At 39.6% G+C, this 27,240-nt stretch overlaps 1 protein-coding gene across 21 annotated transcripts in view, besides 2 other annotated features; it reads right to left on the bottom strand.

Annotated features, from left to right (window-relative positions):
• Positions 1–27,240, bottom strand: part of AUTS2 (activator of transcription and developmental regulator AUTS2) — a 1,195,032-nt gene that overhangs the window by 940,114 nt on the left and 227,678 nt on the right. The gene's annotated exons all lie outside the window — the stretch shown is intronic.
• Positions 9,369–9,478: an enhancer, noted in NCBI's record as "active region_26103". NCBI's record gives its function as "activates an Ori minimal core promoter by ATAC-STARR-seq in GM12878 lymphoblastoid cells {active_cell/tissue: GM12878}" and the evidence as "EXISTENCE:reporter gene assay evidence [ECO:0000049][PMID:35858748]".
• Positions 12,751–12,870: an enhancer, noted in NCBI's record as "active region_26102". NCBI's record gives its function as "activates an Ori minimal core promoter by ATAC-STARR-seq in GM12878 lymphoblastoid cells {active_cell/tissue: GM12878}" and the evidence as "EXISTENCE:reporter gene assay evidence [ECO:0000049][PMID:35858748]".

The raw sequence follows: 27,240 nt of genomic DNA, 5'->3' as shown, positions 1-27,240 counted from the left end.
AACAGAGAGGGACATTAAAAATGATATGTAAGTCAATCAATCAAGCAAATATAGTAATCCCAAATGTATTTGTGGCAAAAAAATGGAGTTGTAAAGTGTGAAGCAAACACTGACAGAACTGAAAAGAGAAATAGACAAAAGGTAGTTGGAGACTAAAATGCCCCTTTATCAACAATTAATTGATAGAGCAACTAGACAGAAAATCAGCAAATGTAAAAGATTTCAACAATGCCATCAACAGGCTAGGATCTAACTGACATTTATAGCACACTACACTTAACAAAGCATAAGCCACATTTTTTTTTAAATGACCTCAGAACAAATAACATAGACCATATCCTGGGATATAATACAAACCTTAGCAAATTTAAAAGAACTGAAATCATATACAGTGTATTCTCTGACCACAATGAAAGAAAAGCAGACATAAATAACAGAAAGATAACAGGAAAATCTAAAAAAACTTGGGAACTAAAAAACACACTGGCAAATAATCTATGGGTCAAACAGGAAGCCTCAAAATAACTTAAACAATGACCTGAACTGAATGAAAATGAAATTACAACATACCAAGTTTAGGGGACACAAGCAGTACTAACGGTAAACTTTTAGCAATAAATGATAACATTAGAAAAGCAGGGGCCGGGCACGGTGGCTCACACCTATAATCCCAGCACTTTGGGAGGCTGAGATGGATGGATCATCTGAGGTCAGGAGTTCAAGACCAGCCTGGCCAACATGGTGAAACCCTGTCTCTACTAAAAATACAAAAATTAGCCGGGCATGGTGGCAGGCACCTGTAATCCCAGCTACTCAGGAGGCTGAGGCAGGAGAATCGCTTGAGCCCAGGAGGCGGAGGTTGCAGTGAGCAGAGATTGAGCCGCTGCACTCCAGCCTAGGAATCTGAATCTGAATCTCACTCCAGAGTGAGATTCTGTCTCGAAAAAAAAGAAAAGAAAACAGGGAAAGCAGACACTTTCCAATTTTTATGAAGCTACTATTACCCTAAAAATACCAGCAAAGAAAAAAAAAATCACATACTACCTCTTATAAACACAAAAGTCCTTAACAAAATATTAGTAAACAAAATTTAGCAATATATAAAAAGAATTATACATCCTGACCAAATGGGATTTATTCCAGGGATGCAAAGCTGGTTCAATATTCAAAAACCAATCAACATAATCCATCATAGTTGATGCAAAAAAGCATTCAATACATATTTATAAAAACCAAGAATAGAAAGGAATTTCCTCAGCTTCAAAGAACAACTACCCAAAAACCTACAACTAACATCAAATTTAGTAGGGAAAGACCTAATGCTTGTTCACTTCAGATTTGGAACAAGACAAGCATGTCCACTCTCACTACCACTATTCAGCATAGTACTGAAGCTCCAACCAGCATAATAAGGCAATAAAAGGAAAAGGTATATCAGAAAGTAAATAATAAAACTGTCCCTGTTTATAGATGACATGCTCGTATAGATGATATGCTTACAAAAATCCCAAAAAATCTAAATAAAAACTCCTAGAAGTCAACTCTGCAAAGTTGAAGACCAACATGCAAAAACAAATTGTATTTCAATATACTAACAATGAACACAGGAAAAGCAAAATCAAAATTACAATGTTATGTATAATGTCTCAGAAAAATGAAATATTTAGATGCAAATCTAACAAAAGATGTATAGGACCTGTATGCTAAAAACTACAAATTGCTGATGGAAAGAAATCAAAGATGATCTAAATAAAAGGAAAGGCATATAGTGTTCATGGATGGGAAAGTTCAGTATAGCAAAGATATCAAATCTCCCAAAATTGATATGCAGATTTCACATATGGGCCAGGCGCAGTGGCTTACGCCTGTAATCCTGGCACTTTGGGAGGCGAAGGTGGGGGGATTGCTTGTGTCCAGGTGTTTAAGACCAGCCTGAGCAACATGGCGAGACACTGTCTCTACAAAACATAAAAATAAAAGTATTCATCATAATTCCTATCAAAATCCCTGCAAAATTTTTGTAAATACGTTCAAGATTGTTCTAAAAATTTACATGGAAAGAAACTAGAATACCTGAAACTATTAACAAAAAAGAATACAGTAAGAGGAATCACTCTATATGATTTCAAAACTTACTAAATAGTTATACTGTAATCAATACAGTAAGGGACTGGCGAAGGGACAGACACGCAGATCAACGGACAGAATAGAGAACCTAGAAACAGTCCCACAAAACTATGGCCAACTGATATTTGACAACGATCCAAAAGCAATTCAATGTTAGAAGAAATGCCTTTTAAACAGTGTTGAAGCAATTAGATTATTCATAGGCAAAAAATAAATAAGCCTCAACCTAAACCTCATACTTACACAAAACTTAATTTAAAATGGGTCATACATTTAAATGTAAAATGTAAAGCTTAAGCTTCTGATGAAGACATAGGAGCCAATCTTCAGGACCTATGGGTTTGGTGAAGAGTTTCTTAGACATGACATCAAAAGCATACTCCATAAAATAAAATGCTGATAAATTTGACCTCACCAAAATTAAAAACCTTTGCTCTGCAAAGCATCCTGTTATAATAATGAAAAGCCAAGCTCCAGACTGAGAAAATATTTGCAAACCATACATCAGACAAGATACTGATATCTAGAATACATAAAGAACATTTCAAAACTTAACAGTAAAAGTCAAATAATCCAAAAGAATGGGCAAAAGACATGAACAGACATTTCATCAAAGAGGACATACAAATGGCAAATAAGCACATAAAAATGTCTGCCATCACTAACCATTAGGGAAATCCAAATTAATCACAATGAGATATCATTACACACCTATCAGAACAGCCATATTAAAAAACAGCAACAATTCCAAATCCTGGCAAGGATGCTGATTCCCTCATACACTGCTGCTGGGAATGTACAATGGTACAGTCACTCTGGAAAAGTCTGACTTTTTTTTTTTTTTTTTTTTTTTTTTTTTTTTTTTTTGAGACAGAGTTTCGCTCTGTTGCCCAGGCTGGAGTGCAGTAGCATGATCCGGGCTCACTGCAACCTCCGGGTTTTTTTGTTTTTGTTTTTGTTTTTGTTTTTTTGAGACAGAGTGTCACCCTGTTGCACTGGAGTACACTGGTGCAATCTCAGCTCACTGCAACCTCTGCCTCCTGGGTTCAAGCTATTCTCCTTCCTCAGCCTCCCGAGTAGCTGGGACTACAGGCGCATGCCACTACGCCCGGCTAATTTATTTTTGTATTTTTAGTAGAGATGGGGTTTCACCATGTTGGCCAGGCTGGTCTCAATCTCCTGACCTCAGGTGATCCACCCGCCTCGGCCTCCCAAAGTGCTGGGATTACAGGTGTGAGCCACCGCGCCCAGCCAAGTCTGACATTTCTTAAAAACCAAACACTATAAAACTCAGCAATTACAATCCTGAGTGTTTATCCCACAGAAATGAAAATTTACTTCCACACAAAACACCTGTAAATAATTGTTCCTAGCAGCTTTATTTATAATAGCCCAAAAGTAAAAAGAATCAAAATGTTCCTCAATAAGCGAATGATTAAACAAACTCTGATGTGTCCACACCATGGAATACTACTAGGTAGTAATAAAGAATAAACATTCATAAAAGCAAGCAACAAGGTTGATGGATAGCATTACAGTGAGTTTAAAAAGTCAACCTCAAAAAGCCATGTACTGTATGATTTAATGTATATATTTCATATTTTCATATTTATGTGATATATTTTATATTTTATATAAATACAAATGTGTAATAACATTTATATAATTTTTAAATGAATAAAATTTATAAAGATGGAAGGCAGATTAGTACTTGCCAGGAGGTAAGACAGTGGAGGGGAGGATAGGGAAGGTGGTAGAAGTTGTTATAAAAAGGAAGCAATAGGGAGATCTTCGTGATGATGAAACAGTTCTGTGCTTTTACTGCAGTGATGGTTACATAATGTACACATGTCAAAGAACGACATAGAGCTATACACATATATTGTACTAGGTGAAGGTCACCCTGGATCTCTCTATATTATTTTGGCAACCTCCTATAAATCTGCAATTATTTCCAAATTTAAAAGTAACAAAAAATAAAGTAATAGATTTTAAAAACCTATATAACTTGTTGAAGGTCACAAGATAAGTAGCCAACAGCTCTTGAATATTGGTTAGCTGGACCCCACGTCTTGTTGTTTTGTTTTGGACAATCTTGCTCTTTCACCCAGGCTGGGGTGCAGTCATATGATCATAGCTCACTGCAGCCTCAAACTCCTGAACTCAGGGGATGCTCTTGCCTCAGCTTCCCCAGTAGCTGGGACTACAGGCGCACGCCACCACAACTGGCTAATTTTTTTTATTTTTGTAGAATCAGGGTCTTGCAGTGTTGCCAAAGCTGGTCTTGAAACACCTGCTGTGGTTTAATTTCCACCAAAAGCACCAACTCTGATGTCTTGTCTTCTGAAGATTATTTAGTCAATAAAACCAAGGGTGTCGAAAAGGTGGTGGCGGGGGGCGGGGGGAGTCCACTTCAAATGTAAACATAAAAGTCAAATAAAGTAGGCTAACTCAATTGTGCAGACAATTGAATGTTGTGCTGGATGTATAGTTTATCTAAAGCTCCTTCCCTAGACAGTCTTAAGAAAAAAAGGAGAAAGCGGGAAATGGGACTTGTATTTCACAGAATCCTTTGACGTGGAAGACAAATGTAATCCAACAAATATTGCTTTAGAGATGCACGCAGAGCAGAGACCAATAATGACAGGGTTTACCTGGGGGCACTCTAATTCATATGGCTTTGGTTACAGGTGTTCCCCAGGAACCTGAGGTTGCTACTGTACCTGGGAGGGCATGGGCAGGAAGCCACTGTGTGTGTGCACACACACACAAACACACACGCACACACCCTTGTTTAGTCAAAACCCTTTAAAGAGAACAAACATTTAATTCCCTTGTAAAACAGATGAATGCTTTATAATTTACTAGCAGCTGCTGGCAGCAACGTGCTCTGCTCTCATATTCCTATTAAGCAAGCTGCGGCTGATTTATTAAAAGCCTGGATACATCAAAACAAATGACTGAGATATCATTATAGTACTATTTACAACCTCTTAATGGGGTTACAGATAGGGGCAATGCAGTACAGGCTGCAATCGTCTTTCCTTCTGTTAGAAGTAGCTCGTATTTTCAGGTAAAAACAAAATCCAATCATGTTAAGGAAGGAAGAAGGTCCCTATTCCTATGAGGGTATGAGGGCCACCTGTGGCTTACAGCAAACCACGGGATCTATGACAAGGCTCTGCCAGTCTCTAATGACTTACAGGACAAAGTACAGATGGCTGTTCTCTATCCCATGCCTCAGTTTCTCTCTCTGCAGAATCAGAACCTCCCACCAACAACTGTTACTCCAAAGTAAATCCAGTGCAAAGGAGGAATGACCTTAGAGGAAACTAAAGGAAGAAACTGGGAAGTGATAAAAGGAGGATCGCCTAGTACTTGGATGAGAATAGAGCAAGAGCAAGAGCAGAGCTGTTTTCAGAGGCGACAGATGAAGTGCCAGGTCAGGCCTCTGCAAGTTTAGAGCCCTCCAGCTTCCCTTTCTCTGTCCTCAACCTTCATCTGTGGCTCCCTCCTCGCTCTCACGTTCAAGTGTTCGGCTTTCTACTCTTGCCCACCTCACAAAGTATGATCTGAGCAAAGGCTTGATTCTTCTAGTCTTTTATTTTCTAGTATAAAAGTAAGCTTGTAGGTCCTCATTCCAGGGGCACCGGCCTTTTGAACAACAAATCAATCTGAAAAAGGAAAAAAATGTAGGTCAGGGAAGCAGGACATAATGAAGAAGGCCAGGTAGATTCCCAGAGATGTACTGGTGCTGAGGCTCAGAGATGAATCCTGTTTTAAAGGCTATGGCGGAGCAAAGTAGATGTTACACTCTGAACTCAGCACACTTAGAGCAAAATGCAAAGTTTTCCCCATGATCTACAAAGAATGACAGAATTTGCTGCGGGACAAGAATCTCAGGCCCACCATTTACCATATGACTTTGTGAACTCCTCAAAGGCAGAATGCTAGGTCTTTTTCCTCTCTCTATCCACACGCTCAGTGTAATACCTCAGGAACTGAGTCAATCAGGAATTAAAGGATGAATTAATGAATAAAGAAACTCTTATTCTACGGCTTTAGTACTCTGTAACTTTTGATCTCTACGTCGTATGTTCTATTAAGCCAGCTTGAAAGACAGGACAAGTAATAATATTTAAAGCAATTATGCATGTACTGGGGGGTAGGGGAGAGGGGAAAAATTAAGGAAAGTAAGACAAATTTATAAAATGCCTTAAGGTGCATTTCAAGGTTAAGAGCCTGGGCTGTGCTACTAGATTGCCTAGATTCTAGTCCTGCCTCAACCACCTGCTACTATATAACTTTGCTCAAATGACTTAGCTTGCTCCATATTGTTTTCTCATCTGTAAAATGGGAATTATTAACACCTAGATTAGAAAGCTGATGTGGGGGCCGGGTGTGGTGGCTCATGCCTGTAATCCCAGCACTTTGGAGGCCAAGGCAGGCGGATCACTTGAGGCCAGGAGTTTGAGACCAGCCTGGCCAACATGGTGAAACCCTGTCTCTACTAAAAACACAAAAATTAGCTGGACATGGTGGCACACACCTGTAATCCCAGCTACTCAGAAGGCTGAGGCATGAGAATTACTTGAACCCAAGAGGTGGAGATTGTAGTGAGCCAAGATTGTGCCACTGCACTCCAGCCTGGGCGACAGAGGGAGACTCTGTCTCCAGAAAAAGGGGAAGAAAGTTGCTGTGGGGATTAAATGAAACAATACCTGTAAAGCACTTAGTGTAACACCCGACACATAGGGAGTGCTCAAAAGATGTTGGTATTTATTATGAATATCGTATTATGGATTCTGGGCCCAATGCCAGGCATATATTAAAGAAAGGAGTGAAGTAAAGGAAGCACATGACAAGAGAAGTTCAGTGGCTCAAGTCTCTGCAAAGCCACCTTCCAAATATTGTTCTTAGAAATTCTGGATGACTGCAAACCCAACAAAAGCCACAAAGTAATAAGACTGCCAAAAAGGCTAATGTGGTCTTGGCTTGCATTAAGAGAGTCACAGAGTCCAGAATAATCATAGAGTGGTCAACTACGTTTTTTTCTGTACACTCTCAGACTACAACTGTCAGTGGTAAACTTTGTGAATATCAATATGCCTAGAAGCAAAATGCATGTAGAATATATTAACAAAAGGCACAGACCAAAAAAAAAAAATCCCAAATAAACTTGAAAGAAATCATAAAACTTGAGAGTGAGAAAAGAGGGAAGTGGTCATTTAGTCTGAATCCTCATCCTGTCATAAAGCAACAGGGGAGCAGTGAAGCTCCTCATCATGAACCTCTTAAAAGCAGGAACTGTGTATCATTATTGTTACCTCAAGTGGCTGCCCAGAACCAGAATGTCCACAGTCAGTGTCAGAACAGAATTGCAGCCCCAGGCACCTGCATCCCAGGAGTTGTGCTGACTACATCAGCACTGCCTTTGATTGGATTGGTGGAAAACAGAGAAGAGGAAAGAGTACAGAAGAAAGAATCTGGGATGTCCTGACAAACTCGTCTCACCTCCAGCTTGCTCTAGGGTCAGCAGAGGGCCACCCTATGCAGTGGTAGTTCACCAGCACAGCTTTAGAGAACTGGACCCTCCCTTCGTTCACAAACACTCCCCTCCCTGCTATGATTTCTGCAGGAATAGGCCAAAATTACCAACTTTCCTTTTCCTGATTTATTTCTGATTCATGTAATCGTAGTCACTTACAAACCAAGGATGCACTAAAGTCCAGGGAAGACATGCATTTTATGCACCTTTACTTCACACAAGAGCATCACTGTGGCAGACAATAACCATTGCCCTTCTTAGCTAATAAAAATAGAGCCCCAAGTTTCTGAGAGAGGCAATGAGACGAGCCTCAGGAAATCAAGCATGAGTGATCTACGCCAATCAAGGTCTTCTTGATTCTCTTTGCCAGTTTGAGGGCAGGGATAACGGAGTGGTAATGTGACCCAAGTCTGGTCAATGAGACATAAAGGCAAGTCTTCTGTAGGCTTTGAGGAAAAATCATCTTCTCTGATAAAAAGGAGGAAAAAGGTACCAGGAAGATTCTTTTGCTCCTGGCATCCCATCTTCTTGTTTTAGATGCCATGAAGAAATTATTCTGAAACAATGGCAGCCATCTTATAATCATGAGGTCAGAAGCCTGAAGGTGAATTCTAACACACTTTGAATAGCAGAGGGAAACGAAGGATGAACACAGCCTCTGAATAAACCCTGGGCCTCCTATTCCCATCTTCTTGCCACCATACTTTGTTAGATGGGTTTTCCATTACTCATAATTGAAAGCATCTTATTTATGTCCATCTCCACAATCCTATTATGTCCATTTCACAGGACCAGAAAAATGAATTTTTAGAAATTTAAATAATTTTATAGGACTGAGAGAGGCCATACTGTGCACTGAACACACTGTTAGGTAGTATGTAACACAATTCGGGGTCAAATGGAAGGGGAGTAGAGGGATTAAGATTCCTAAATGCCAGGGCTAAGATCTACCGATAAAACTAAAGGAATTCAAACATTCTACCGTGCTCTAAGAAACAACAGATCTAGAGAGCTGAGGTCCCAGGGGTGCAGCTTGTGTTCTTGAAAAACCCTGAGTGTTTCACTTAGTCAAATATTATGCTTCTGCTTTTTAAATATTTCCATTTAAATGTAGATTTTGACCTTCTCTCCAATGAAATATTAATATGAGTATAAAATATATATTACTCATATCTGAAAGAGGGTCTCTTTCCAGTGTCTGTCATGTTTCCTCTCTGGTGTCTTGGAATGACTTCTGAAAACCATGACAGTTTTATCTGCTGCACCCATCTCTGCCAAATGTCTCACTGAATGACTGAAAGCTAGAAGACCACATCTTTCTCAGGCACATTTTGGATTTGTTTGCATGTGTCTGTTTAATTTATTTCATTCGGTTATCAGTAAGACTGGTTTCCTTATAGCAATAACCATTTAAGTACCAGGTGGGCAAAAATGAAAACTGTCTCCAGCAATATAATAAAAAGGAAAGGCTTATTTCATTTAAAAATCTCCTTTCCTAAATAAGTAGCCCATACTAACATTAACTGGGGTTTCTATTTCTTTCTAATAACTGTAGCCCATTAAGTGGAATAGCAGATTTTTTTTTAATCACACATTGCTCTACCGATTCAGCTTTATCATCTTCAGTATTCAATCAGCCAAATGATGAATAGGGGAATAAGCAGAGTAACGAGGATTGGCTGGTATGTGAATTTTTCCTTATTTATTTCTATCACAGTCTTAATAACTCTCACATGATACAAAGATACTATTTATCAGGCCACTTGAAAAGCAGAACTGTCCCCAGCATTGAGCGCTCAAGTAAAAAGAAGATTGTATTCAAGAGCTGAAATATCTAGTTTCACATCTTATCTTCTTAGTTGTGGACCTTCATGCAAATTCCTTCATCTCTCTGAATCTCAGTTTCCTCTTCTCTAAAATGGACACAGCATGTTTACCTCACAGTTGTGCTGCAAAGACTAGTTGATTACCATTTGAGCTAGGGCCATGAGAAGGTTACCACACTGGTAAACAAAACATCTCAGAAACTAGCCTCTGAGGAAATCTAAAATATTCACATTCCCCCTGGTACTCTACAACCAGGTCAGCCATCAACCACCACAGATTACTGCTTTGTCTGTATCATCCCCATGCATTCCTTTATTCGCCACTTAACATTTTTACTCATTCAACGGAAATTTATACTGCACATCTACTATTTTCCAGGCATTATATCAAGTATCCAGTGTTGAACAATGCAGACATGTCTCCTGTCCTCATGGAGTTTATAATCTTCTCTAACAGACTTCCTAAATTTTGACCTCTTATATATACCTGTTGTTGAAAAACTCTGCCCTAAGAACAAGCCCCTATGCAACCCCTCCCCAATTCTCACTACTCTCCATTCCAACATGAATGCCCCTCCACTAGTCCTGGGACCTAATGAACCCATTTTATTTGGTTTGCCCCTTTACATTTTCATGTAACACTTCTTTAATTCATCTATGAGATATTTCCTGACCACCTCTTGCAGGTCCATTGGAAGAGCTGAAGTCTACCTGACTTCAAATGCTATTCTGAATACCTCTCTTTCAGGTATGGATCCTATCCTTGAATCACTTTATCTTACTTCCAGACAGCTCAGAGTCACCTGTCACTGAGTGTAACAAGGGACTAACTGCAGCCCTTTGCCCACACTGCCTGGATACCATCCTGCCCCCACCTGGCACATACTCCATTATCAGCCTACAACAGAGCAATACTACACTCAAGCCCCCAGCATCTCTGAGTAAACCCTAGCCATTATGCCTGGCTATCAGTGAGGTTTTATACCTCTCGGAAGTCCTGAGCTGAGACGGGCAACCAGCAGAGAGCCAGCCATTAGGGATCTGCTGCCATTCATCTATTTTTGGTGATGCTACCACTGTGCCCTTGAGTCAAAGCACCTGAATCAAGTCCAGTTGCTGAGATCACAGGACCAGAAGCTCAAACACTTAACTTTAGGCTCTCTGACCAAAAGAATAGTCCCAGTGAAAATACATCTAACACACCCAAATAGGTAAAATAAGAAACACTCACTGGTGTCACTGATGGTTTAGGGCTAGAGAGTTTGAACAAAGTAAACTACTTTTGAAACTCTTCCTTTGAAATTTCCACCAGCATCACAGGACACAAAGAGGGGCAAAGAATATCCCACTACTTCCCTGTCACACACTTCTGTGATCAAAATTTAGTCACTTACTTCATAACATCAGAATAAGCTACAGGAGACTTCAGATGTTTCTCAAAAACAAATCATCTTAAGGCTCTGAGAGAATTCTTAAAGAATATGTTATGAACAGTAAAAGCGTCAACACACAATGTCCTAAGGTATGTGCTTTAAAGAGACTCACAATAATTAGGACAAGTTTATCTGGTCACATGTTCCTTATAAAATCTAATTTTCTTATATTAGCATTTCATCCACTTCTTTGCAAGTCTTTTTTTAAAAAAATCCATTTTATCTACCAAACCATAATATTAAGATGCCAACATATTTCTAGATAAGATATTCTTAAACACCATTCAGATTTCTTGATAAAAAATTCTAGATAAGGCATTCTCAAACAGAAATGCATGCATGAGCTAGAAATCTCAGAAATTACATATAAACTTTTCCTGAATTCACAGCTTTCTCTATGCTGAATATAAATATAAATATAAAACAAACACCCATATGCCTACTATTTAGATTCAAAATTGTTAAAACTTTGCCAAAATCACCTTATCTATGCACTCGTCTCTCTCATGGAACCATGTGAAAGTGAATTGCAGATATGATACTTTCATGAAATACTTAATAAGCAACTCCTAAGAATAAAGATATTTTCCTAACACAACCAAAATACTATCACACCTAAGACATTAAGTTCCTAATGTTATCTGATAGCCAGTCCATATTCAAATTTCTACAACTGCCTCAAACATCTTTTACAGCAGTTATAATTTTTAAGCCAGATCCCATCAAGATTTGTACACTGAATTTGACTGTTATGTTCCCTTAGTCTCTTGTAATCCGGAGTAATACCCACCAGCAATTTGTTTCACGACACTGGCTTTTTGAAAAGATCAGACATACCAGTTTTCTTGAGAATGACCCACATTTTTGGTCTGTTTCTTCCTGGTGTGGATTAATTTGTTTTTCAAACCCTTCTATTTTCTGTAAACCTTGTGTTATAGTTTGGATATCTGTCCCTGCCCAAACCTGATGTTGAATTGTAATCCCCAATGCTGGTGGTGGGAGGTGTTTGGATCATGAGAGTGGATCCTTCATGGCTTGGTGCTGTCTTTGTGATAGTGAGTTCTTGAAAGATCTGGTCATTTAAAAGTATGTGGCACCTCCCCCACACTCTCTCTTGCTTGCTCCTGCTTTCGTCATGTGATGTGCCAACCCCTCTCCTCCTTCTAGAAGCTGAGCAGATGCCAGCACCATGCTTCCTGCAAAGCCTGCAAAACCATGAGCCAATTAAACTTCTTTTCCTTATAAATTACTCAGTGTCAGTCATTTCTCTATAGCCATGCAAGAACAGCCTAATACACCTGGTTAGATTCAGGTTAAACATTTTTGGCATAAATTGTTGGTGATGCTGTGTAGTTCGTCACATCAGGAAGCTCCTACTGTCAGGCTATCCTACCACTGTGATGCTAAGTTGAACCACTTTGTTAAGGTGGTGACCGCCATTGTTAAGGGTATACTTTCCCCTTTGCTGGTAATTTGTGGGTTATTCTCTAATAAGATTATTCTGTTCCCCAACATGCTTTCAACTAGTTTTGCATTGACGGCACTTGCCTGTTCAAATTTTCACTGCAGGATGCAAATGCTGATATTCTGTATCCTTCTATATTTTATTTGGTAGCATCCATTTGTAAAGCAGAGGTTTCTCTTACCAATCATGAAAGAACTACAGTTTCTCAGTAAAGACAGGGTGTTTGTTTCATGTAATTTACAATTTATAGAATGAGAAGTTGACATCATAGTCACCTCCAATGATGCCCAGAGTGTCTGTCTGTCTCTTTCTCTCCTCCCACCCCATCTCTCATCACTATGAGTTCAAGAATTTTTATTTGTTCAGTGTTTTACACTCAGTTGCAGTAATTCTCTTGAATGCACAAATTGTCTGAAATCTGACCAGTGGAAGCCTCTTCGACCTGTGAAGCCCAGTGTTCTTATCCCACCCACACATATATTACACTGAAGAGAGCTCAACAAAACCACAGTTATTTGCCTAATCTCCACATCCTTTGGACTTCACAGTGCTTCTCCTAGTGGAACACTTAACAAGTATGTGTTTTTATAAAGCACTTCCTCTACAGATATCAGACATTTTAAATTAGCGCTAAACAAATGAAACAGCTATTAATAAGCTCAAGCCTTGACGAGAATCTTAATTTTGTTTCAGAGCTTAATCTGAACAAAAGCAACAGACACTAACAAAACATGTAATTTAACTCTGAGAAACGCTTTTTGGAATACAAAGAGATTTCTTTATGTTTCCTCAACAGTTCTCCTTTAATACAGACCTACTCACTGACACACAATTGAAGTATAATATGGGAATCAACTAAAACCTAAAACAATTGGGAATATTTAAGATAGAGGGGGAAAAAGTTAGTGAAGTAAAGGTTTTCAAAGACGCTGCCCACCCCCATCAGAGTTCCTGACTCACTGGGTCTAGAGTGAAACCAGCAAATTTGCCTTTCTAATAAGTTCCCAGCTGACACTGAAGCTGTTGGTCCAGGGACCACACTCTGAAAACCACTGGTCTACAATGATTCCTGTTTCTTATCTGCCTCTTTATCTTTCCCCATCCCCCCTCTCCTCCACCTCCACCAAGCTCCTGGACCTCTTATACTTCACTCTCCTGCCATATTTCCTTTACCTACAAAACACGACAACAACAACAACAACAACTGCAGGTGGCTAGCAGACCATTCGTGAGGCAGTGAGGAATAGAACTTGGGATGTTGATGTGATTCTTCTGCCTTAAGACCTGCTTTCCTGAATACCCCCACTCCTACTACTCTACTATCCTTACAAAGAACAAAGTGTTTAATTGGGGATGGGGGGAGATCTTGGGTTTTCTTGTAACTCTCTAAAAGAATATAAGCTTCAGATTAATGTCTTGTTTATAAATCTACAACCCCAACTAGACCAGCTTCCATCCCTTTATTCCATTACTTGGAGAGATAAAATAAGGTCCTATTATAGAAGAAACTTGGGGATTAAGTCATATTCAGCCTACTTGATCTATACATATATGCCTATAATCTGGAATAATAAAAAGTGATTCAAAAAACTCCACTGACATTTACTGAGCTACTGCTTTGCTCCAGAAATGGGACTGAACTCTGCAGACACAGAGAGAAGACTAGATCACAGACTAGTGAGTGAGAAAAGAGCCAAAATCAGGTACTTACAAGGTAAGTACTGCCCAGAATGATGACCCTGGAGCACTGTAAAATGTCCAAGCAAAAAGAAAGCCAGTGAAAAGTTAGCAATTCACTGTCCTCTGGGCATGCAGATGTTAATGTTAACTCCAGCCCAGAGACTGTCAGCAGGCAAAGGGGTTCATACACTCAGGAAGGCCTTTTTCTAACACATACCCGATTCTGATTACGAACAGAAATCCTGCAAATCTACAATAATGCAGCTACAAAAGCTTCATAGTTTGCCCCCAATGGGTACGGAGGCAGAGAGAATGACCAGATCTGACCAAAAATATCTGTTGCCGGTTAGGATTTTAATTGTGACCCAAAAGAGAGCAATCTGGAGCTCATATCCCTAACTAGAGCCAGGGTTTAAAATCATATCCCTACTGTGAGTCTTGTTGTAGGGACTAAAAATTAAAATAAATAAAATAAAACTATGCTCCATGTGGCTTTCTCAGAAGCCACAGCAAGGGCTGAATAAAGGGAATGCATGGTCAATGCCTGGCCTATCCCACTTAAACCACAGCAGCTAAGTTTCCACTTTTTTTATTTGGTTGTGCTATCTAGTAATATCTCCATTTAAAGAAGAGTTCCACTGCTAAAAGAATCTTTAAATAACAAATATAGTTCAGCCAACAAAAGACTGGGATTTGGGTCCTGGACTATTCCTGCCCAGCTTTGTAACTCTGGACAAGCTACAGTGTAGTGATACACAGATAGCAAAGGTTTTGATGGATCCAGATAGCCTGGGTACAAACCCCAGCTCTATCACCTGCCAGCTATGTGGCTTGGGCAAATGACTGAAACTCTCTGTGCCTCAGTTTCCTCACTTGTAAAACAGGGATAATAATACTGTCTACCTGACAGAGTCATTGTGAAGATCAAGCAAGTTAACACAAAAATCACTCTGAACAGTGTCTGGCTTAACCATTGTTAGAGATTCTGCTATCATCATCATCATCATCATCAATCGCTTTAGGCCTGATTCTTTATCTGTAAAATAAACATATTATCTCTAAGTCATCTCATATTCAGAGCCCAAAATTCTTCTAACTTCATGCAAACTTCAAATATTGACCACTGACTTTTGCCAAATGCACAAAATGCCAAAGCTTGATCAGAATATGGGGGCACATATATAACCCCTCCAGTTGTCAGATACCAGCTCCCATTTCAGTATTTATCCATACCAATCTACAATCCCAACTAGACCAGCTTGTAGTAGACCAGCTACAATCCCATCTAGAACATGAGCCTTGTGAAACAAAACAATCCATGCCATCAAGAGAGAAAAGGAAAAGAGAACATCTAGTCCAGAGCCTTAGCTGCAGGCAGAGGCTGCTGCTCAACAGAGATCCGCATCATAAATAGCCTAAGAGAAGCTACACATCCCAGGGAGGCTGGTTTGCAAGTCTGCATTTTATGCCAGATTTAACCAGTCAAAGTTAAATGGAAAACGTGTATTATTAATAAGAGGCTCAGTGTCACTTTATTTCTTATGCTAAAGCATAATCGATGATACCAGAGAGAGTTAAGAGCTTTTAAAATACACCATGTGGTCCCTTAACAAACATGACGCCTCTTGATGAACGCTTCTCTGCTGGTGTCCCTGGCAAATAAGCAAGAACACATAGCAAATTGCTACATGTGAATAGCAAGCCCCCATTTTCCTCTCTGACACAAATGGCTCAGCAGTGACTCATGGCAAGACCAGGAGGCAGGGAGAGGAGGGGCAGGCAATTGTAGACTCCTCTCAGTGGGGCACTTAGGGGGATAATGAAGCAGGAAGCAGCTGGAATCATTTTGGGCCCCCTGAGTAGCATAAAGAGAACAAAAGGTAACCAGGAGAGAGACGTCTAGATTCAAAGCTGAACCCTACCAAGTTCTAGCTGGGTAACCTTGGGCAAATTAACCTCTCTGAGCATCTTCAAAATAGGGAAAGTACTACTGTCTTGAAAGGATTGTTGTTGTAAGAAATAAAGGACTAGGGACATGGATAACTTACATCATTATTGATGTCTTCCCAATTACCAGGACTGCCTAACTATCTATGTGCATTTGTTTCACAGAATCCTCATAATAATCTCTATAAAGTTGGATTATTATTATCCTCATTTTCAAATAAGAAACTGAGGCAAAGACTCGCCCTTTAGTCCTTTTAGCCATCATCCCAGGCCAGGAGCTAACCCTGATTTGTCGCTATTTCATGAAGCCTTCCTTAACTATCCCAAGCGCAGTCAAGGTCTCTTATAGGTAATCAATTCTATAGGGTCCCCTCTAACGAGCAGTTACCATACTGCACACATTCACATGAGAAATATACCTAACATTTACTGTGTACTAATTATGGGTTTTCTTGTCTATTTCCCCCACTAGAGTGAGCTCGAAGTACAAACTATGGCTATCATCCTAAAGTTTCCAACTTCACACACACTATAGCGGTCAATACCTCTTTTGAGCAATAAGTAAACGCTAGTATCATTGTTACTGTGAAAATTTGTTAATTTTTTTAGGCGTGCAAATATGTGGACTGAAACAGAGTTTAAGTGTGCAGAAAGTAAATGCAGTTTTCCCAAACACCCATGGCAAAACTCTCTGTCATTGTTCCTGAGGAGTTTAGTCTGGTGACTTTACTCCTCAATGCGTATAAACTGGAGTGATTTAATCACATAAGAATCTACCTTACCCAAATAGATTAAATTGTGGGCTTTCAAATGGGGATGCAAAAGAGGAGAGAAAAAAAATCACCACACAAGGATTTACCAAAGATTAACTTTACAATGAATGTCCCTAAATCCACTTTAAATAATTCAACTTACATGAATTCTTCGGAATATAGTATCCTTACTACAAAAAGATAAAATTGTTCTATATTTAGTTTTATGTACAGGTACCATATTATGTTAATTTGGCCACAGCTGATTGCTTCAGAGGTGTGGCCAGTCATCTCTCCAAACACACAAGGCAGAGGGCAATTCCTATTTGACAAAGACATCACATGTATCACTCATCCATAAAAGGATAACATGGTGTATGCCTTCTCAGCTAATCTGAGCAGAAATCTGTTTATACTAAGCTGAAGAAAATGTTAGTTTTGTCTAAAATACTCAAGTCCAAAAAGAAGGGCAAAGGGTGGATGTATAAAAGTGTACAATCTTTTGAACCCAAATCTGTCACTTTGACATTTCTCACGCACATAATTTTGTAAGGCTTTCCAATGGTCAACTGAAGAAACAGATAAATGGTGGCTTCTGCTGAGTCCCTCCATCAGCTATGTCAATAAATCACGGCCAGGAGGCAATTCGTTCTAGGACAATGAGCTGCTGCTGCTCAAATGTGTCCATACTCTGATACTGTCAAACCTCTTCACCCTCTTCCCAATAATCAGACTGACATCTGTGCACCTAAATTGATAAACATCTTCTTCACCTCTGGGGTGTTGTATATAGCATTCAACACTTTAAATGTCCTACATGATTCCAGGAAACGAATGTCTCCAACCACTTACCTCCTAATAAAACCAGCAATCTATAATGAAACTCTTTAATGACATGTGCCTTTCACCCTAAATCAGTCTTCAGGCTTTCCCAAAGTCACTGAAATTATTCTTCCTCTATGGCAATCTCTAGAAATCTTGCTCTTGTCACATGCCTGGGTTAACAGGCAGTAAAGGGAAGGCCTGCAATATCTATTATGGTTTGGGAGTCTCTTGACACAAATCTTCAACACTGAATCAAAAGACCTATCTCAAAAGATGGCATTTATCTCCGTATTTTCCCTCACCTAAAATTCCCTCTAAGCTCCCACTAACAGTGATGGGATTCATCTTGTCTAGTGGCCTCTCCCTAGAGTACTGTGTTAAGAAAAATCAGAAGATCAGAGTTCTAAGATCTATTTATGATATTTTCTACAAAAAAAGAAAACCGTCACAGATATGCCATGGATTTTGCCATCTCTCTATCTGTATCTCTTATGTCCTGGGTTAAGGACATTATTTTAATTCTCCTTTCCTTGTTTCAGACCACCATTAATGAGCTCTGAGGCTCTGTTACTCTTTGTGTCTTGATCTCCAGCAATACACCATGTTGTCCCTTAACAAACCTAGAAATTAGTGAGATTCTAGAAATTGGTGAGATTAAAAACGAGCATAAAAGAGACTGTACAAGGTCCACTTTGGATAAATACCCACGATGTTTCGCTAATTCTCAAAATATACAAGATTCCTGACTCTTCCAAAAGTGAAAAGCTGAGAGAACACAGAAGAAAAACCAAGCAAGCAGACAGGCGGCAGATGCATGGAGTACAGAGAAAACGGAGGAAAGGCATGAATGGAAAAGAAAAAAGGAAAAGTGTGAACATAATTTATAAGACGAGAACAAGAAAAGAAGACATAAGAAAAGCAAAAGGTAAACTGGCTTTTATTTGGTTACAGCATTTGGCTGCTTCAGGCCCAAGCTCAAAAGGAAATGTTATAGGATTCTCAGGCTCTGCTGCTTCCTGGCTCCTTTTAGGAGCCCCAGCAGTCATGCTAAGTGCCTAGCATTATCACAGAGCATTCTAAAGTAGTTCTTATTTGACGTCTGCATCAAGGCTTGGTTTGAGTTTTGAACCTTGCATTCTAGTTGCTACACATAAGGCTGAGATTATTCTGCAGTGGTGGCAGAGAAACACACACAGAATGTAACACACCAGAGCAGGTAGTTTATCAGATTAAAGTCATAAAGCAGCAATTCCTCCTGTGTATTATTTCACAGAGCCAGAATAAAGTGATTGAACAACATTAATTCTGTTTAGCAATGAGGGAGCCAGCTCTTTCCTAAACCTGCCTCCAGCACTAAGGGTGGCTCAGGAGCTCTGGAAACATTGCCTGCCTTTCCTTTATTCAGGTGAAGAAGGCAGAGTGAGGAACACCATCTAAAACAGAAGATCAACCTGGAGTATAGAAGAGATGAAACTGGCTAGGCTCCAAACTAAACAATTTCGTTGTAAAATAATTTGAACCCTAAGAATAAAGGCCTTTCATTGCACGCACTAGGGTAACAGTCTGTTGGACTGTTTTCCTAAGCCCACAGAAAACGACCTACAATGTGATGACGCTAGCCAGCCTGTAAAGAAGAGTGACGTAGAGGTGCAGGGGAGTTTAACAGTGGGAAGGGGAAAGAGCAGCAGGTTAAAGCAAGTGTAAAGGACTTACCAGAGCCCTGCTGCTCCCCTCCCTCTCCAAGGCCTATCGCAGTGGTTCATGACCTAGCTGCCCATTAAAATCCCTTGGAAATTTTTCAAAATTGTATATTACTTGGTGCCCAATCCCAGAGGGTCATATTCAATCAGTCTTGGATGGAGTCCAACCATGACCATATTTTTTAAACTTCCAAATGATTCTATCATGAGTGTGGATATAATTTTCTGTGAAGTAACCTTTTAGCATAATTGTTGTAGAATGTAATACACTTATCGGAATATGAACTTTTCAAAGACATTCTAGGACAAGTTTCAAGTTCAAGCAAGATTTTTCAGGATCAAATATCAGGATAATTGCCGGGCGCAGTGGCTTACACCTGTAATCCCAGCACTTTGGGAGGCCAAGGCAGGCGGATCACCTGAGGTTAGGAGTTTGAAACCAGCCTGGCCAATATGGCGAAACCCCGACTCTAATAAAAGTACAAAAATTAGCTGGGCGTGGTGGTGGACATCTATAATCCCAGCTACTCAGGAGGCTAAGGCATGAGAATCGCTTGAACCCAGGAGACGAGGTTGCAGTGAGCCAAGATCACACCAGTGCATTCCAGCCTGGGCAACAGAGTGAGACTCCATCTCAAAAGAAAAAAAAATTGAGATAATATAATAGAGCTTTCACTAAGATTTATAATTAATATGTAGTTCAGATACGATTGGCCTTTTAAAAGGTTGAGATCCAATTATAATTATATAATAATCAGGTCAACAGTGAAGGTGAATGCTTTTGGGGAGCTCATTTTCATACCTGCTGCATGGATATAAGATGTGCAGAAAGAGGCAGAGGACCAGATACAACAGTGATTCTTAATGGGTGGTTCCCGGACCGGTAACCTAGACATCACTGGAGGACCTAAAAATTTTAATTCTCAGGCCCTTTTCCAGACCTACCATACCACCAGGAGTGGAGTCCAGCAATCTGTATTGTAACAAAGCCCTCTAGTTGATTCTGTTTAAAGCTGCAGTTTGAGATATACCTACGAAGAATAATAACTGATTACTCGTCTTTTAATAAAGTATCCTAGAAGCTCCTTGTGGACATCAAGGAGGGAAATTATACATTCTCTGAAGCTCAGACACTCTCAAGCAACACATCTCACAACACAGACAACTAATTAGTATTTTCTGTTACCAAGACTTTCTCCTCAAAATTCCTCTTTGATTTTTACGACTTTACCCTCAGATAACAGGAGGCAGTTTACAGTTAATGTTTTTGTTGTTGTTAGGGATAGAAGGTATAAACCTAAGAGTATGCTTGTAGGTTTTTCTGAGAAGCAACAGGTAAAAATATCTAACTTACAAGGTAAAGTTCTGGCAAGAATCTCCAAGCAAAACCAAGAACTAGATTTCCTAAATAGGTCTGTAATTATTCTCTTAGCCTGTTGTTAATTTATTCAGTTAATCACCAAAAATTTATTAGCCTTCTAAAGGAACAGCATGAGTCAACTTCAGTAGGTAAAAATGTCCAAAGTACTAGTCTCCCTGTTATTCAACACCAGTTGACCCATGGGAGAGAGAAGCAGGGGAGTCTGTAATGCTTACCAGTTGACTAGTGCTCAGCATTATTCTCTGCAGCTATTACATGCTTGCTGTGTGCTGCTGAGGTCAGGATCTTCCACGTGATGGGTCATGTATAGAGCAACTGCAACGTCATTCTAGAACTACCAATCATATCCCCAGTCCCTATAGGTACATCAGTGGCTCCCAAGAACCCATTCCCATATTCAAAATCACCATTCTGTTGATGCTTACTTTCACCTACACTTCTCAATAGATGACCAGGGTAAGAAACACTGTTGTTATTAAAGAAGAAAGAAACAAAAGGTTTAAAACGCTGCAGGAGTTCAACCCAGATCCAGATCACACAACCTCAAAACATTGCTATGGGGAGCAGGGTAGGGGGTTGTCGGTGAGGGGAGGAAACACAGGTATTTCAAGCCCCTGGGGAGGTCCTTCTCTGAGTTTTAGAACATGGCTGCCTTAGGGATTACCATAGGTTCAAAGGATATTTTGAAAATGTCACACAAAATACTAATGCTGCTTAGGGCTGCCAAGCCAACTTACTGAATGAGTTAAAACCCTGAAAATTAAGTCAATGACAAAGCATCTCTCAAATCCATTGTGATTTAAATCATGCCAAGGGCCAAAGCCAAGTAACTTTCAATTATTAAGTAAAGTGATGTAAAATTTTTTAACTTTAAATTCTACACCTCACTCTCTCAATATCCTAAGGGAGAAGAATTAGGGTGCAATTGGAAGCCCTCTGAGGTTTATTTTTCATCATCAATATGGATAATTCTAATTTCTCCTTGCCACTTAGTGTAGGTGCTCTTTAAAACTGAGACATCTGGGATCAAAGCAATGCCAAGACAACGGCATAGCATGTTCAGATGATTAAAAAAAAAAAAAAATCTTAAAAGGTCAGTTGGGTCCTGGCTTACAGAAGGTTCATGCTTCTTACCAAGGCTTACAGTGGACATAGGAGAGACAACCTGGGTCCTTCCAGGTTCTCCAGCACCCTGGGAAGATCAAAGTAGCCAGAGTCCAAGAAGCACTGGTGCTTCCCCACCAAGACTGGCAGCAGTAAGTCCACTGAGAAGCTGTTCCAACTGTTTTTTGTTGCTTATTTTCTTTGGTTCCGTTTAATTCTGCAGTCCACAGGATGAAGTCCTGGAGTTAGGCATCTCATTTCCAGCAATGATGCCCCAAGCCTCTATGAGGGCAGTTAACTATTCTGAGCTTCTATCAGAGCTTCTGTCAGGGTAGATAACTCACAGAACAAATATTGCTCCCTAATTCTAATTGCACTAAATAGCACAATGAACAGACTGTTCTTATTCCTTCAAAAGAAAAAAACCCTTCAAAGTAGCAAATTCCAAAAGGAGGAAAAACAAGGATTCCAACCTTCTTGGGGAGTGGGGATCAGGTGGGAATTAAAGTATATAAATTAACTATTTTCTATACCCCAGAATTTCACTGTTGAATACTGACTCCAGTACCAGGCTGTCTATGAAAGCCTTCCTTTCCTGTCCTTTCACTACTATAAAGGTCTCCTGGCTCTCTACCTCTGAAGGGAGTATACTTAGTTTAGTGATGGGAAAAGAAGATGAAAACCATCGGCATTCCTCAAATCAATACCTTCAAGTCACCTTCGAAACTCTCCTCAGGCTCAACAATGAAAAATGACTTTCCCCTATTCTAATGCTCTGTGATCTACAATTCTAAATTCCTAGTACTTTTGTTTATGAGCTCTACAATCAAGCCAAAGAAAACGATTTAAGTGTCTGGCTAATTTTTAGTACGAGCTCAATAAATGTGTAGTGAATGGATAAGAGAGTAAACAAATAAATATGCTCCATTGCAAGCTATCTGGGACACTCATTTAAACAAATAACAAACGCTTCCTCAGTTATAATGAAATCCAAGGTACTTCCAGGAGGATGTGATACAGATCACTCACTGTTGTTAAAATAACTAAAATAAATAAAACCAACTAGAAAATATTAGAAGATATATTAGGAATTTTAGACAAAGTGTTATTAACCATTAAAGTTGGATCTGAGCTCATTGGTGAAATAAGACAACAAGAAAACATACTGAATTTTTATGTATTTATGTATTTACTTATTTTTTAACTTAAAGTTCCAGGATACATGTGCAGAATGTACAGGTATACCTATGTAATCATAGGTATACGTGTGCCATGGTGGTTTGCTGCACCTATCAACCCATCATCTAGGTTTTAAGCCCTGCATGCATTAGCTATTTGTTCTGACGCTCTCCTTCCCCTTGCCTCCTCCCACACTGCTCCTGGTATGTGTTATTACCCTCCTTGTGTCTGTGCTTTCTCCTTATCCAGCTCCCACTTATGAGTGAGAACATGCGCTGTTTGGTTTTCTGTTCCCGTGTTAGTTTGCTGAGGATGATGGCTTCCAGCTTCATCCATGTCCCTGTAAAGGACATAATCTCATTCCTTTTTGTGGCTGCACAGTATTCCATGGTGTATATGTACCACATTTCTTTATCCAGTCTATCACTGATGGGCATCTGGGTTAGTTCCCTGTCTTTGCTATCGTGAATAGTGTTGCAATAAACATATGTGTGCATGTGTCTTTATAGTAGAATGATTTATGATCCTTTAGGTATATACCCAGTAATGAGATTGCTGGGTCAAATGGCATTTCTGGTTCTAGATCCTTGAGGAATCGCCACACTGTCTTCCACAATGGTTGAACTAATTTACATTCCCACCAACAGTGTAAAAGCGTTCCTATTTCGCCACAGCCTCTCCAGCATCTGTTGTTTCTTGACTTTTTAATAATGGCCATTCTGACTTGGCATGAGATGACATCTCATTGTGGTTTTGATTTGCATTTCTCTAATGATCAGTGATGTTGGGCTTTTTTTCATATGTTTTTTGGCCGCATAAATGTCTTCTTTTGAGAAGTGTCTGTTCATACCCTCTGCCCACTTTTTGGTGGTGGTGTTTTTTTCTTGTAAATTTGTTTAAGTTCCTTGTAAATTCTGGACATTAGACCTTTGTCAGATGGATTGCAAAAATTTCTCCCATTCTGTTGGTTGCCTGTTCACTCTGATGATAGTTTCTTTTGTTGTGCAGAAGCTCTTTAGTTTAATTAGATCCCATTTGTCCATTTTAGCTTTTGTTGCAATTGCTTTTGGGGATTTCATGGTAAAATCTTTGCCCCATGCCTATGTCCTGAATGGTACTGCCTAGGTTTTCTTCAAGGTTTTTTATGGTTTGGGGTTTTATATTTAAGTCTTTAATCCATCTTGAGTTAATTTTTATATAAAGTGTAAGGAAAGGGTTCAGTTTCAGTTTTCTGCCTATGGCTAGCCAGTTTTCCCAGCACCATTTATTAAATAGGGAATCCTTTCCCCATTGCTTGTTTTGGCCAAGTTTGTCCAAGATCAGCTGGTTTTAGATGTGTGGTCCTATTTCTGAGGTCTCTATTCTGTTCCATTGATCTATATGTATGTTTTGGTACCACTACCATGCTGTTTTGGTTACTGTAGCCTTGTAGTATAGTTTGAAGTCAGGTAGCATGATGCCTCCTATACTGGATTATTTTATTTGCCACTTTCCAATAAGAAGAAATACAAGTTCATCAGGAAAGAATAATTTTTGCCTTATACTATGTTTTAGGAGTTATGTATCATGTCAATTCTTACAGAAAGAATACTGAAAACCCCCAAGACAGTTTTTAAATGGCTGTTTTTCATCCTCATGGCCTGTCCCCTTGCTTTGGAGAAAATGCTAGCAGAAGTGATATGGAAGCAAAGTATGAGAACACTGGACATTACAATATAATATTTATGTTAATGTCTATGTTAATTGTGTGTGTCATACTTGTGTAAAAGCATTTCCAATATTTTCTAATTTTATCTCAAACCATCCTGTATGAATGGGGTAAGATAGTTATCAGTTATAATACACTAGACTGAAGGAAACAGAAAATCCAGCCAAAATAGTTAAAACGTGATTTTTCTTTCTCACACATAACAAGAAGTCCCAAAATGGAATGGACTCAGGCTGATCAATTCAACAGCTCCACAATATCATCAAAGATAGTATCTATCTTTTGTACAGCTTTGCTGTCCCCTGCATGTGGGCCTGTCCTCTTACGCTGGCTCACGGTTCAAAGATGGCAACTGCCAATTTCAAAGCACCACATGCAGACAACAACCAGATAGAAATTATACTTCTCTTCATCAAAATCAAGGAAACGTTTTCTAGAAGTGCCCACACAAGATTTCCCCTCATGTCCAGCCAGCCAGACCTGGACCTTCCTAAGCCCATCACTGACAAGGAGTAGAAATATAATGACTGGAATAGACTAATCAAGATGTACCCCCCTGAACTCAAGTCCACATGGAAGTGAACACCTAAATAAAATCAAAGTTCTGCAAGCAAGGATGTGAGGTGAGCTGACAAATTCGCATTGACATCTCCTCCACAGCAATGCTATCAACCTTGTTTCCCAACCCATTGATCAAGTCCTCACGGAATGCTGGTCCCCAGCCTGTATTATGTAATGTGATTTGAGGCATGGCAGTTTCTACAAAAGAATTACTGCAGAGCACTCTCGTCTACAAAAGACACGAGGCAAAATTAAAAGAAGAGGAAGGAAACCATGCTGTGGGCCTTCCTCTGTGGGAACCAGCATATTCACTGGCCACAGTGCTGCAGACAACTAGGAATGAGCAGTCATAGAGACATCCCATCAAGGTTTTCAGTGACTCCGTTCAAGTACAGTAAATAAGGAACAGAACAACCCTTCTCTCATTTCATGAGACTTTAAATGCCCCTTCTGATGCCAACCAAAAAGATAAGCTTTGTTTATCTTAACCACAATTGATGAAGTCAAGTGCTTACTTCCCCTTAAATGGAAGGAGTGCTTTTCTCCACCTCCCTACACCTTTCCCCTGGCCAAGTTTTAAGTTCTTGTGTTTTAAGTAAGAAGAGCTTCATGTGGTGTTCTAAAATCCACTTCATGCTTCAAATTTCTATTGAAGAATATACTGCAGCCATCTTCAGAATCCAGGGTTTTTTTAGGGGTTTTTTTTTCCCCTCTTCTTTTTCCCCCTCTATCACGGTTACAATCCATCTACGCAGGATAAGTGCATCCTGGATGGAGGTAAGTGTGCTGCGCAAACACACAGGGAGCTCTTGAGTACAAAAACCACTTTCCTGAGTTTGAGATCCTTAACTCTGACTGTTCTCCTTACATGCAAACATAAGTTAACAGTCTCTCTGGGATTGGGGGCAAGGAAGCAAAAAGACGCTTTGCTTATAAGAGGGAGAAAAGAGGAGAGTAAAGGCAGGACAGAAAGAACACATAGTCCAAGCAGATTCCTGGGTGTGGCTCTTTTCAAAATTCCCAGAAGCTACAACCACCTCTCCATGAGCTAGTTCTGGGGCCCAAGGAAAGCATTTCCCACCCTGGACCTGTCTGGTAACTGGGAGAAACACTCCCAAAAGTCAAGAAATTAGAAAGCTCAATAGCCAAATGCCTAATAAAGACAGAGCTGACATGAAATGGGTGTTGACTCTTTATCCCTTCACAGATAAACAATGTTATTTTTATCCTAGACTTCCTTGAGATGGAAGTAAAGGTAGACAGCATAGAACACATACTAGACACTCAATAATTTGTTGGAGGAAGGAAAACAACTCATAAACCACCCCAGAAAAATGTAGTCTTCCAAAACTAAATATATTAAGCTTTAACATTATCATCCTAGACACACAACATAGACTGAGAAAAACACCTTGCCTAGGAATAAAATACCACACACAAATATTCACACTTACAATAGACTAAAAGTGAAAGTAGGCATTTTGGAGAGGCAAGATCAGAATTCTTAATAAAAGATGACACTCTCTTGACTACATCAAGTGTATATTCCCGTCTATCAACTGTGCTCTACAGAGGCAAATGGCAAGATGCTTAATATTAATAGTTGCACACGCACACACACAAGCAAGCACATGCAATGCAAATAAAGGATTCAACTATGACAGCCAGGACAGAACCCTGAGATGCCATTAGTCACATTTATAGGGTGTTCTAATCCAAGCAAAAGTACTATCCAAAGCTCAGTGTACTGAAGGGATTTACAGTCAAAAGCTGTGGATTCAAGGCCCAGGTCTATCACCTTAGGCAGGTCACTTAACCTTGCCGCATCTTAAATTTTTTTATCCATAAACTGGAGACAATAATTAGTTACTTTGCCAGTCCACAGCCGTGTGAGAGATTAAAACCTTCTGGACAGGAAAACTATAAAATAACTAACTAACTATAAGGGGTTATCCTTACTTAATATACTTCTCAATCTACAAACCAAAAAATAACAAATTATCA

Source organism: Homo sapiens, chromosome 7 (assembly GCF_000001405.40).
Source record: "Homo sapiens chromosome 7, GRCh38.p14 Primary Assembly".
Lineage (NCBI taxonomy): Eukaryota > Metazoa > Chordata > Mammalia > Primates > Hominidae > Homo > Homo sapiens.
This window is presented reverse-complemented; position numbering and strand designations above follow the sequence as displayed.